The sequence below is a fragment of the Homo sapiens genome, chromosome 7 (genome assembly GCF_000001405.40).
Source record: "Homo sapiens chromosome 7, GRCh38.p14 Primary Assembly".
Classification (NCBI taxonomy): Eukaryota; Metazoa; Chordata; class Mammalia; order Primates; family Hominidae; genus Homo; species Homo sapiens.
Window position 1 is genome coordinate 43,344,988 of NC_000007.14, and position 12,548 is coordinate 43,357,535.

The 12,548-nt window shown below is 37.0% G+C and overlaps 1 protein-coding gene across 17 annotated transcripts in view, besides 1 other annotated feature; it reads left to right on the plus strand.

Annotated features, from left to right (window-relative positions):
* The window catches only part of HECW1 (HECT, C2 and WW domain containing E3 ubiquitin protein ligase 1), a 453,355-nt gene that overhangs the window by 232,341 nt on the left and 208,466 nt on the right, over positions 1-12,548 (plus strand). The gene's annotated exons all lie outside the window — the stretch shown is intronic.
* Positions 1,398-1,567: an enhancer, noted in NCBI's record as "experimental_98938 CRE fragment used in MPRA reporter constructs". NCBI's record gives its function as "activates a minimal promoter by MPRAs in K562 erythroleukemia cells, with activity observed for the non-introgressed 7:43386069 variant allele {active_cell/tissue: K562}" and the evidence as "EXISTENCE:reporter gene assay evidence [ECO:0000049][PMID:34662402]".

Here is a 12,548-nt window from a genome sequence, read left to right on the forward strand (position 1 = left end):
GACTTTATTTTGTATAAGGGTTTATAGTCTGCAGGGTGGCCATTCCACAGGCTGTGAAGTATAGACTCCGCTCAGCAAAGACTGGAAACAGGCACTTTAAGGGAGGAGAGAGCAGAAGAGGAACTTATGTTGAACAGGTTGGCCAAGTATACATATTTAATGGGTTATAGCAGGAGTTATGAATATTCACAAAGGGGTTCCTGAAATATGCATATTGAAAAACATGTATGTAACATACAACCCAAGTTAACATTAGGGTAGAGACTTAACATTTAAATGAATTACTATTAGGCCGTATACATCAAAAGCTAAAGCAGGGACATGGAGGCACTCAGGTGTGCAGCCTCTGTAAACAAGCCAGAACCAGTCTATGGTTGGCAATCTCTTATCAGAAGAAAGTTACTGAAATCATTCTCTTTTATGGTTTTTTATTTTTATTTTTATTATTTTATTTTATTTTCCATAAGTTATTGGGGTACAAGTGGTATTTGGTTACATGAGTAAGTTCTTTAGTGGTGATTTGTGAGATTTTGATGTACCCATCACCCATGTATACACCACAACATACCTGTAGTCTTTTATCCCTCGATCCCCTCTCACTCTTCCCCACAAGTCCCCAAAGTCCATTGTATCATTCTTATGCCTTTGTGTCCTCATAGCTCAGCTCCCACATATCAGTGAGAACATGCAATGTTTGATTTTCCCTTCCTGAGTTACATTATACTTAGAATAATAGTCTCCAGCCTCATCCAGATCACTGCAAATGTTAATTCATTCATTTTTATGGTTGTGTAGTATTCCATCATATATATACACACACACACACACACACACACACACATCATATATATATACACACACATCATATATATATATACACACACACACACTACAGCCACTTGTTGATTGATGGGCATTTGGGTTGCTTGCACGATTTTGCAATTGTGAATTGTGCTGCTATAAACATGCCTGTGCAAGTATCTTTTTCAAATAATGACTTCTTTTCCTCTGGGTAGATGCCCAGTAGTGGGATTGCTGGATCAAATGGTAGTTCTATTTTTAGTTCTTTAAGGAATTGCCACACTGTTTTCCATAGTGGCTGTACTAGTTTACATTCCCACCAGCAGTGTAGAAGTGTTCCCTGTTCACCACATCCACGCCAACATCTACTGTTTTTTTATTTTTTTTATTATGGCCATTCTTGCAGGAGTAAGGTGGTATCACATTGTGGTTTTGATTTGCATTTCCCTGATAATTAGTGATGTTGAGTATTTTTTCATATGTTTGTTGGCCATTTGTATATCTTCTTTTGAGAATTGTCTATTCACGTCCTTAGCCCACTTTTTGATGGGATTGTTTGTTTTTTTCTTACTGATTTGAGTTTGTTGTAGATTCTGGCTATTAGTCCTTTGTCAGATGTATAGATTGTGAAGATTTTCTCCCAATATGTGGGTTGTATGTTTATTCTCCTGACTGTTCCTTGTGCCATGCAAAAGCTCTTCAGTTTAATTAGGTCCTAGGTATTTATCTTTGTTTTTATTGCATTTGCTTTTGGGTTCTTGGTCGTGAAATCCTTGCCTAAGCCAATGTCTAGAAAGTTTTTTCAATGTTATCTTCTAGAATTTTTATAGTTTCAGGTCTTAGGTTTAAGTCCTTAATATATCTTGAGTTGATTTTTGTATAAGGTGAGATGTGAGGATCCAGTTTCATTCTCCTACATGAGGCTAGCCAATTATCCCAGCACCATTTGTTGAAAAGGGCATCCTTTCCCCACTTTATGTTTTTGTTTGCTTTGTGGAAGATCAGTTGGCTGTAAGTATTTGGGTTTATTTCTGGGTTCTCTATTCTGTTCCACTAGTCTATGTGCCTATTTTTATACCAGTACCATGCTGTTTTGGTGACTATGGCCTTATAGTATAGCTTGAAATCAGGTAGTATGATGCCTCCAGATTTGTTCTTTTTGCTTAATCTTGCATTGGCTATGTGGGCTCTTTTCTGGTTCCATATGAATTTTAGAATTGTGTCTTCTAATGCTGTGAAGAATGATGGTGGTATTCTGAAGGGGATTGCATTGAATTTGTAGATTGCTTTTGGCAGTGTGGTCATTTTCACAATGTTGATTCTACCCATCCATGAGCTTGGGATGTGTTTCCATTTGTTTGTGTCATCTGTGATTTCTTTCAGTAGTGTTTTGCACTTTTCTTTGTAGAGGTCTTTCAACTCCTTGGTTAGGTATATTCCTAAGGTTTTTTAAATTTTTTAAAATTTAATTTAATTTAATTTTTTTTTTTGCAGCTATTGTAAAAGGGGTTGAGTTCTTGATTTGATTCTCTGCTTGGTTGCTGTTGATGTATAGAAGAGGTACTGATTTGTGTACATTAATCTTGTATCCAGAAACTTTGCTGAATTCTTTTATCAGTTCTAGGAGCTTTCTGGAGGAGTCCTTAGGGTTTTCAAGGTAAACGATCATATCATCAGCAAACAGTGACAGTTTGACTTCCTCTTTACTGCTTTGGATGCCCTTTATTTCTTTCTCTTGTCTGATTGCTCTGGCTAGGACTTCCAGTACCATGTTGAAGAGGAGTGGTGAGAGTGGTCATCCTTGTTTTATTCCAGTTCTCGGAGGGACTGCTTTCAACTTTTCCCCATTCAGTATTTTGTTGGCTGTGGGTTTGTCATAGATGGCTTTTATTGCACTAAGGTATGTTCCTTCTGTGACGATTTTCCTGAAAGTTTTAATCATAAATGTTGGATTTTGTCAAATGCTTTCTCTGTATCTATTGAGATGATCATGTGATTTTGTTTTCAATTCTGTTTATGTGGTATATCACATTTATTGACTTGCATATGTTAAACCATCCCTACATCCCTCTTATAAAACCCATTTGATCATGGTGGATTATCTTTTTGATATATTGTTGGATTCATTTAGCTACTATTTTGTTAAAGATTTTAGCATCTATGTTCATCAAGGACATCGGTATGTAGTTTTCTTTTTTGGTTAAGTCCTTTCCTGGTTTTGGTATTAGGGTAATGCTGGCTTCACAGAATGAATTAGAGAGGGTTCCTTCTTTCTCTATCTTGTGGAATAGTGTCAAAAGTACCAATTCATCTTTCAATGTCTGGTAGAATTTTGCTGTGAATCTGTCTGGTCCTGGACTTTTTTTTGTTTGTAATTTTTTAATTACCATTTTAATCTCACTGCTTGTTATTGGTCTGCTCAGGGTATCTAATTCTTCTTGATTTAAGCTAAGAGGGCTGTATTTTTCCAGGAATTTATCCATTTCTTCTAAGTTTTCTAGTTTATGTGCATAAAGGTGTTCATACTAGCCTTGAATAGTCTTTTGTATTTCTGTGGTATCAGTTGTAATATCTCCTGTTTCATTTCTTAGTAAGGTTATTTGAATATTCTCTCTTCTTTTCTTGGTTAATCTTGCTAATGGTCTGTCAATTTTATTTATCTTTTCAAAGAACCAGCTTTTGTTTTCATTTATCTTTTGTAATTTTTTTTTTGTTTCAATTTCATTTAGTTCTGCTCTGATCTTGGTTATTTCCTTTCTTCTGCTGGGTTTGGGTTTGGTTTGTTCTTGTTTCTCTAATTCCTTGAGATATGACTTAAACTGTCTGTGCTCTTTCAGACTTTTTGATGTCGGCATTTAGGGCTGTGAACTTTCCTCTTAGCACCACCTTTGCTGTATCCCAGAGGTTTTGATAGTTTGTGTCATTATTGTCATTCAGTTCAAAGAATATTTTAATTTCCATCTTGATTTCGTTTTTGACCAGTGCTCATTCAGGAGCAGTTTATTTAATTTCCATGTATTTGCATGGTTTTAAAGGTTCCTTTTGGAGTTGATTTCCAGTTTCATTACACTGTGGTCTGAGAGAGTGCTTGATATAATTTCAGTTTTCTTAAATTTATTGAGGCTCATTTTATGGCCTATCATATGATCTATCTTGGAGAAAGTTCCATGCACTGTTGAATAGAATGTGTGTTCTGTGTTTGTTGAATGAAATGTTCTTTTTTTTCTTCGTTTTTGTTTTTGTTTTGTTTTGTTTTGTTTTTTGAGACGGAATTTTGCTCTGGTTGCCCAGGCTGGAATGCAATGGCGCACTCTCGGCTCACTGCAACCTTTGCCTCCCAGGTTCAAGTGATTCTCCTGCCTCAGCCTACCGAGTAGTTGGGATTACAGGCATGCGCCACCACGCCCGGCTAATTTTGTATTTTTAGTAGAGACGGGGTTTCTCCATGTTGATTAGGCCGGTCTCAAACTCCTGACCTCAAGTCATCTGCCTGCCTCGGCCTCCCAAAGTGCTGGGATTACAAGTGTGAGCCACTGCACCCGGCCTGTTGGATGAAATGTTCTATGTCTATCTGTTAAGTGCATTTGTTCCAAGGTATAGTTTAAGTCCATTGTTTCTTTGTTGACTTCCTGTCTTAATGACCTGTCTAGTGCTGTCAGTGAAGTATTGAAGTTCCCCCACTACTATTATGTTGCTGTCTATATCATTTCTTAGGTCTATTAGTAATTGTTTTATAAATTTGGGAGCTCCAGTGTTAGGTGCATGTATGTTTAGGATTGTGATATTTTCCTTTGGACAAGGTCTTTTACCCTTACATACTGTCCCTCTTTGTCTCTTTTAAACACTGGTGCTTTAAAGTTTGTTTTGTCTTATATAATAATAGCTACCCCTGCTCACTTTTGGTGTCCATTTGCATGAAATGCCTTTTTTCACCCCTTTACTTTATGTGAGTCCTTATGTGTTAGTTGAGTCTCCTGAAGGCAGCAGATAGTTGGTTGGTGAGTTATCCATTCTGCGGTTCTGTATCTTTTAAGTGGGGAATTTAGGCCATTTACATTCAATGTAAGTATCGAAATATGAGGTACCATTGCTTTCATCATGTTCTTTGTTGCCTGTGTACTTTGTTTTTGTTTTTATGCTTTTTAAATTGTATTTTTGTTTTATAGGTCCTGTGTGATTTATGCTTTAAAGAGGTTCTGTTTTGACGTGTTTTCAGGATTTGTTTCAAGATTTAGAGCTCCTTTTAGCAGTTCTTGTAGTGGTGGTTTGGTAATGGCAAATTCTCTCAGCATTTGTTTGTCTGAAAGAGACTATATCTTTCCTTCATATATGATGCTTAGTTTCGCTAGATACAAAATTCTTGGCTGATAATTGTTTTGTTTGAGGAGGCTGAAGATAGAGCCCCAATCCCTTCTAGCTTGTAGGGTTTCTGCTGAGAAATCTGCTGTCAATCTGATACGTTTTCCTTTATAGTTTACCTGGTGCTTCTATCTCACAGACCTTAAGATTCTTTCCTTCATCTTAACTTTAGATAACCTGATGACAGTGTGCCTAGGGGAAGATCTTTTTGTGGTTAATTTCCCAGGTGTTCTTTGTGCTTCTTGTATTTGGCTGTCTAGGTCTCTTGCAAGGCCAGGGAAGTTTTCCTCAATTATTCCCCCAAATGTTTTCCAGGCTTTTAGAATTCTATTCTTCCTCAGGAATATCGTTTATATTTAGGTTTGGTCATTTAACATAATCCCAGACTCCTTGGAGGCTTTGTTCATGTTTTCTTACTCTTTTTCCTTTGTCTTTGTTAGATTGGGTTAATTCAAAGACCTTGTCTTCAAGCTCTGAATTTCTTTCTTCTACTTGTTCAGTTCTATTGCTGTGACTTTCCAGAGCATTTCACATTTCTAAAAGTGTGTCCAAAGTTTCCTGAATTGTTTATTGTTTTTTTCTTTAAGCTATCTATTTCCATGACTATTTCTCCCTTTACTTCTTGTATCATTTTTTGGATTTCCTTGCATTGGGCTTCGCCCTTCTGTGGTCCCTCCCTGATTAGCATAATAACTAACCTCCTGAATTCTTTTTCAGGTAAATCAGGGATTTCTTCTTGGTTTGGATCCATTGCTGGTGCACTAGTGTGATTTTTGGGAGGCATTGACAAGACTTGTTTTATCATATTACCAGGGTTGGTGTTTTCTGGTTCCTTTTCATTTGGGTAGGCTCTATCAGAGGGAAGGTCTAGGGCTGAAGGCTGTTGTTCAGATTCTTTTGCCTCTGGGGTGTTCCCTTGAATTAGTACTGTCCCCTTTTCCTACGGTGTGGCTTCCTGTGAGCCAAACTGCAGTGATTGTTGTCTTTCTTCTGGGTCTAGCCACCCAGCGAGTCTACCTGCCTCCAGGCTGTTACTGGGGGTTATCTGCACAGAGTCCTGTGATGTGAACCATCTATAGGTCTCTCAGCCATGAATACCAGTGCCTGTTCTGGTGGAGGTGGCAGAGGGTGCAATGGACTCCATAGGGGTCCTTGGCTTTGGTTGTTCAATGCTCTATTTTTGTACTGGTTGGCCTCCTACCAGGAGGTGGCACTTTCCAGAGAGTTTCGGCTGTAGTAGTATGCAGAGGGACCAGTGGTGGGCGATGCCTTAGAACTCTCAAGATTATATGCCCTTTATCTTCCACTACCAGGGTGGGTAGGGAAGGACCACCAGGTGGGGGCAGGGCTAGACGTGTCTGAGCTCAGACTTTTAGGGCAGGTCTTGCTGTGGCTGCTGTGGGGGATGGGGGTGAGATTCCCAGGAGTGACATCTACTTGTTATGGAACATATGCCTGTATCTGATGACTCTGATATCTGGAAATTCTATGTATCTGCCTTTTCTTTGTCAGCTGTTTTTTTTCTTTCTTCTTTTTTTTTTTTTTTTTTTACATTGCCTTGTCTTTGCATGTGCTTGGTCAATTTTAATTAAGAACAGTACAATGTAAATGAAAACTTGTAGAAATCAGATGAGGCTTAGAATGATGCTACTTTCCTCCTGAGGGGTTTTACATTTTCTTCTGACCAATGTCTAGCAATCCAGAATAACCTCAATTGAATTTCAAGGCTTGAGATGATTCAGAGGGCTAAGGCTGGTGTATTTCTCAACAGTATATCCGTTTATTATTCAGAGTCCCACCTTGAATCGTAAGGGAATTACCAGAGCTTTCCTTTTTGACAGGCTTTAGATTTTTAAGTTTTATCCCCTTAACCCGGCAAACCTGTCAAATATTCTTTTCAGCTTCTCAGCCTCTCAGATGCTTCTTTTAGAATCAACACACTTACCCCTAGAGAAACAACCCCAAATCCTGGGCTTATCTCTGAGTTTTCATGTTCTGTATCTTGACCTCATTATTTTATTTTCCACTGCCTTGCTAGGTCTCTGATGCCTTCAGGCTAGGGTTTCTAGATCTAGGGGAAAAAACTTTCAGGACATCTAATTAAATTTGAATTTAAAATAAACAATGAATAATATTTTTATTGTATGTGTATTCCATGCAATAATCGAAACTTGCTTATACTAAAAATTCATTCTTTGTTTATCTGAAATTCAATTTTAACTGGGTGTCCTGTATTTGATTTGGTAACCCTACTTTTGGCAGAATTATTTCTACATTTTAACAGCTTTTCTAGATGTTCTCTGAATTACCTAGTACATTATTACTGAAAGTGGAAGTTTACTTCTGTTAGCTGGTCAGCAAACTTGAGTTATTAAAAACTTTTGAGAGACAAATCACCAAGAAAGGAGTTAATGTTTGCTTAAATCCTAGGTCTGCCATGAACCATATGTGTGACCTTATGTAAGTGGCCTTAATTTTGACCTCATTTTCCTTAGATGTAAAATAAGAATGACAGGTGACATTTACTGAGGTCTGATTATATGCCAAGCATTGTGCTAAACACATTTTTTTAAGAAGGCTAATAATGATTGGCTATACATCATAGGATTCTTGTGAGGATCAAATTAGAAAATATTATTAATGCCCTGGTACATAGTAAGTGCTAATTAACTGTTAAGACAAATTTAAGTCATTGCTTTTAAACTTAATTGAACATTTTACTTACTCAGGTCTCCTATCATCATTGCATACTGATGTCTCCAGTGCTACAGCTGGCCTACTAATCCCTTAACAGTGTAGGAAGGTGGGGGGGCAGGGAAGCAATTTTCTCCTTTCTTTAAGTGGTAATAAACTGAAGTGAAACAATCTGTACTCTCTGAATACATGCCCTTAAATAAAGATTATAGTTGCAATCTGTGTATAAATATACATATTTATAGTGGTAGAAACTTCAGTTTTGCTCTACTTCGTGAAGGACATGGTCACCCCGGCCCAAACTTGAAAATATAAATATATATATATTATTGATGCATGTGTTTTAATATTTATGGATGGCTTTCATTTGTAGCCCACCCCTAAATAAGAAGAAACGTTAATGATTTAATATCCCTTTTCAGCTAGAATGGGAAATCATTTTAAATTACAGGGATATTTAGGTTAAATAAAAGGAAGATCAATTTATAATCAAGTTGCTAAACACTGGAACATAGTATTAAAATACTCGTTTAAGAAAAAGGAAAACAACCTTTGCCAACAACTTCTCAGAAGAGTACCATGACGTCCATTTCCAAAAGGGTAGTATAGAGGCAAGATGGCTTCACTTCCCCCCACAGAAAATTTAAAACAATTGTATGGCACCAAGATGATCACCAGCAATATCCCAGAACTCAAATATGAGGGTAAGACAGCTCTCAGGGCCACAAAGCAGTGAAAAAAACTCTGAGCAGATGGTAAGAGAATCAGACTTCCATATCCACAATGCCCCTCCCTCCCCTCAATCTACCTGGCACCAAGTGCATGGAAAATTTTTCCCCAACTCATGATTTATACACTGGAAAAAGTGAAATGGAGGTAGACAACCAGCTTCCACATCATTTTGGGTTCCCTGGGAGGAGACTTGTCCCTGCCTCAACCCACGAGAAGCATTGGGAGTGCCTGAAGAGAGAACTATCCCTGAGAGCAACCATAGACAAAGCAAGGAAGAAAGACCACCACCCCTGGAAACTCTGAGATATAGCTCAGCCAAAGGAGACACTAAATCAGAGTGAGTGTTCAGCAGCACCATGCCGTGGAAAGCTTGTTCCATAGATCCCCTTGGCATGAGCCCTTAGCCAGTTTTTCCATAGTCCTGGGATAAACCTTTTGGGACCTCCTCCATTCAGGATGGGCAGCAATCTGATTGTTTACTAGAAGTGAGGCAAACCTGGGTTTAATGTGCCATCTAGTGTCAAAAAGGAGGCAATTATTTATAGTAGGGGAAAAAAAAGAAAGATATCAACAGGTAAATTACAAAGAATCTCTACACAAACATATCCAATAATAAAAAAAAAAAAAGGCCAGACAGAGAAGACTGAAATAAATAACTAATCCTTCAATGCAAAGACATAGCTGTATATCTACAAGAAAAACAGCAAACAGAAAACCATGACCTCCTCAAGTGGGCAAAGAAAGGAACTAGTGATTGACCCCAATGAGACAGCAATACGTGTACTCTCTAACAACTGAAAAATAGCAGTTTTAAACAAACTCAGCGATCTCCAAGATAAGACAGAAAAAGCAATTCAGAAATTTATCAAGGAAATTTAACAAAGAGATTGAAATAATTTTAAAAATAAAACAAATCTTGGAACTGAGAAATATATTTGCTGAAGTGAAAAATTTATTACACGTTCTCAACAGCAGACTGAATCAAACAGAGAAAAGAATCAGTGAGCTCAAAGAGAGGCTATTTGAAAATACGCAGAGGAGAAAAAAGAAAAAACAATAAAAAGGAACAAAGATCACCTACAAGACATAGAAAATTACCTCAGAAGACCAAATCTAAGAATTATTGGTGTTCAAAAGGAATTGAGCAACAGCAAGGAGAAAATTTATTCAAAGAAATAATAACAGAACACTTCCCAAAACTTGAGAAAGAGGTATATATCCATCCAGATACAGAAAGATCAGAGAACACCAAACAGATTCAACTCAAATAAGGCTATCCCACAGCATATAATAATCAAACTTTCAAAGGTCAAGGACAAAGATGGCATCTTAAAAGCAGCAAGAGAATAAAAGCAAAGAACATATAAAGGAACTCCAGTTCATCAGGCAGCAGACTTCTTAATGGAAACCATAGAGACCAAGAGGGAGTGAGATGACATGTTCCAAGTGCTGAAAGGAAAAAAAAAAAAACTGCCTCCCAGGAATTCCGTATCCAGCAAAGTTATCCTTCAAATACAGAAAAGAGATAAATTATTTCCCAGAGAAACAAAGGCTAAAAGAATTCACTACCACCAGACCCATCATACAAGAAATGCTTAAGAGAGTTATTTAATCTGAAAAACAAAAACAAAAAACACTAGTGAGTAAAAAGGAAACGTTTGAAGATATAAAATCCACTAGTAAAATTAAGTACGCAGACAAACCCAGGATACTCTAATACTGTAATTGTGGTGTGCAATCTATTCATATCTCTAGTAGGAAGCCCAAAAGATAAATTGATCAAAAACAGTAATACCTTTAGCAACCTGTTAAGAGATAAGTAATATAAAAATATGTAAATTGAGACAATGTAAAATCCAAATGTTGGGAGGATGGAGTTAAATTATAGAGGCTTTTTTTTAAATTTGTTCTTTGTTTCTATTCTTTGTGATCTAAGATAAGTTGTCATCTCCTTAAAATAACTTGTTACATCTATAAGATTTTTTTGTAAGCCTCATGGCAACCAAAATGCAAAACCTATAATAGATTCACTAAAAATAAAAAGCAAAAAAACATACTACCAGAGAAAATAACTTAACCACAAAGGAAGATAGGAAATATGGAAAAAAGGAAGAGAGCAGTTAAAAACCAACCAGAGGCCAGGCACAGTAGCTCATGCCTGAAACCCAGCACTTTGGGAGGCTGAGGCAGGCAGATCATGAGGTCAAGAGATCGAGACCATCCTGGCCAACATGGTGAAACCCTGTCTCTACTAAAAATACAAAAATTAGCTGGGTGTGGTGGCGCACACCTGTAGTCCCAGCTACTCAGGAGGCTGAGGCAGGAGAATCACTTGAACACAGGAGGCGGAGGTTGCAGTGAGCCAAGATTGCGCCACTGCATTCTAGCCTGGCAACAGAGCAAGACTCCGTTAAAAAAATAAATAAAATGAAATAAAAAACAGAAAACAAGCAACAAAATGGCAGTAATCAGTCCTTACTTATCAATAATAATAACAAATATAAATATGCTCAATTCTCTAATTAAAAGGGATAGAGTGGCTGAGTTAATAAAGAAACAAGACCCAACTATATGCTGCCTATAAGAAACCCACTTCAGCTATAAAGACACATATAGACTGAAAGTATTGAGGTGGAAAAAGATATTCCATGCAACTAGAAACCATAAAGGGCAAGAGTACCTATGCTTACATCAGATAAAATAGACTACAAATCAAAGACTGTAAAAAGAGATAAAGAAGGTCACTATACAATGATAAAGGGGTCAATTCAGCAAGCGGCTATGAAAATCTATGCATATCTATGCACCCAACACCAGAGCTCCCAAATATGTAAAGCAAACATTAATAGATCTAAAATGAGAGATACACTACAATATGATCATAATAGGGGACTTCAATACCCCACTCTCCATAATGGCCATATCATTCCAGCAAGGAAATGTAAATAAACTACACACTGACCACATGGCCTAACTGACATCTATAGAACATTTCACTCAACTGCTGCAGAATACACATTTTTTCTATCAACACATGGAACATTCTTCAGAATAGACCATGTATTAAGCCACAAAATAAATGTCAACAAATTCAAAAAAGTAGAAATCTTATCAAGTATCTTCTCTGACCACAAAAGGAATAAAACAAAATCATTAACAAGAGAAATCTCAGAAACTACACAAACACATGGAAATTAAACTACATGCTCCTGAACAACTAATGGAGAAATTAAGAAAAAAGTTTTAAAATTTTTTGAAACAAATCAAATAGAAATACAGCATACCAAAATGTATGCGGTATAGTAAACAACTCAAGAGCAAAAAACAATCTGATTTTTAAGTAGCATCTTTTAAAAGATGTGAATAGACATTTCTTAAAAGAAGACAGACAAATGGCCAACAGATGCATGAAAAAAATGCTCAACATCAGTAATCATCAGGGAAATGCAAATCAAAACCACAATGAGTTATCATTCACCCCAATTAAAACAGGACAGGGAGCAACAAATGCTGGTGAGAACACAGAAAAAGGGGAGCCCTCATACACTGCTGGTGGGAATGTAAATTAGTACAGCCACTATGAAAAACTAACAGATTCCTCAAAAAATTAAAAATAGAACTACCATATGACCCAGCAATTCCATTACAGGGTATATAGCAAAAGAAAGGAAATCAATATATCGAAGAGATACCTGCACTCCCATGTTGATTGCAGTACTGATCACAACAGTCAAAATATGGAATCAATCTAAGTACCCATTAATAGATGAGTGGATAAAGAAAATGTGGTATGTAATAGTATTCAGTCACAAAAAAGAATGGAATTCTGTCATTTGCAGTAACATGGATGGAACTGGAGGTCATTATGTTAAGTGAAATAAGCCAAGCACAGAAAGATAAATATTGCATGTTTTCATTCGTATGTGGGAGCTAACAAAGTGGATCTCATGGAGATTGAGAGT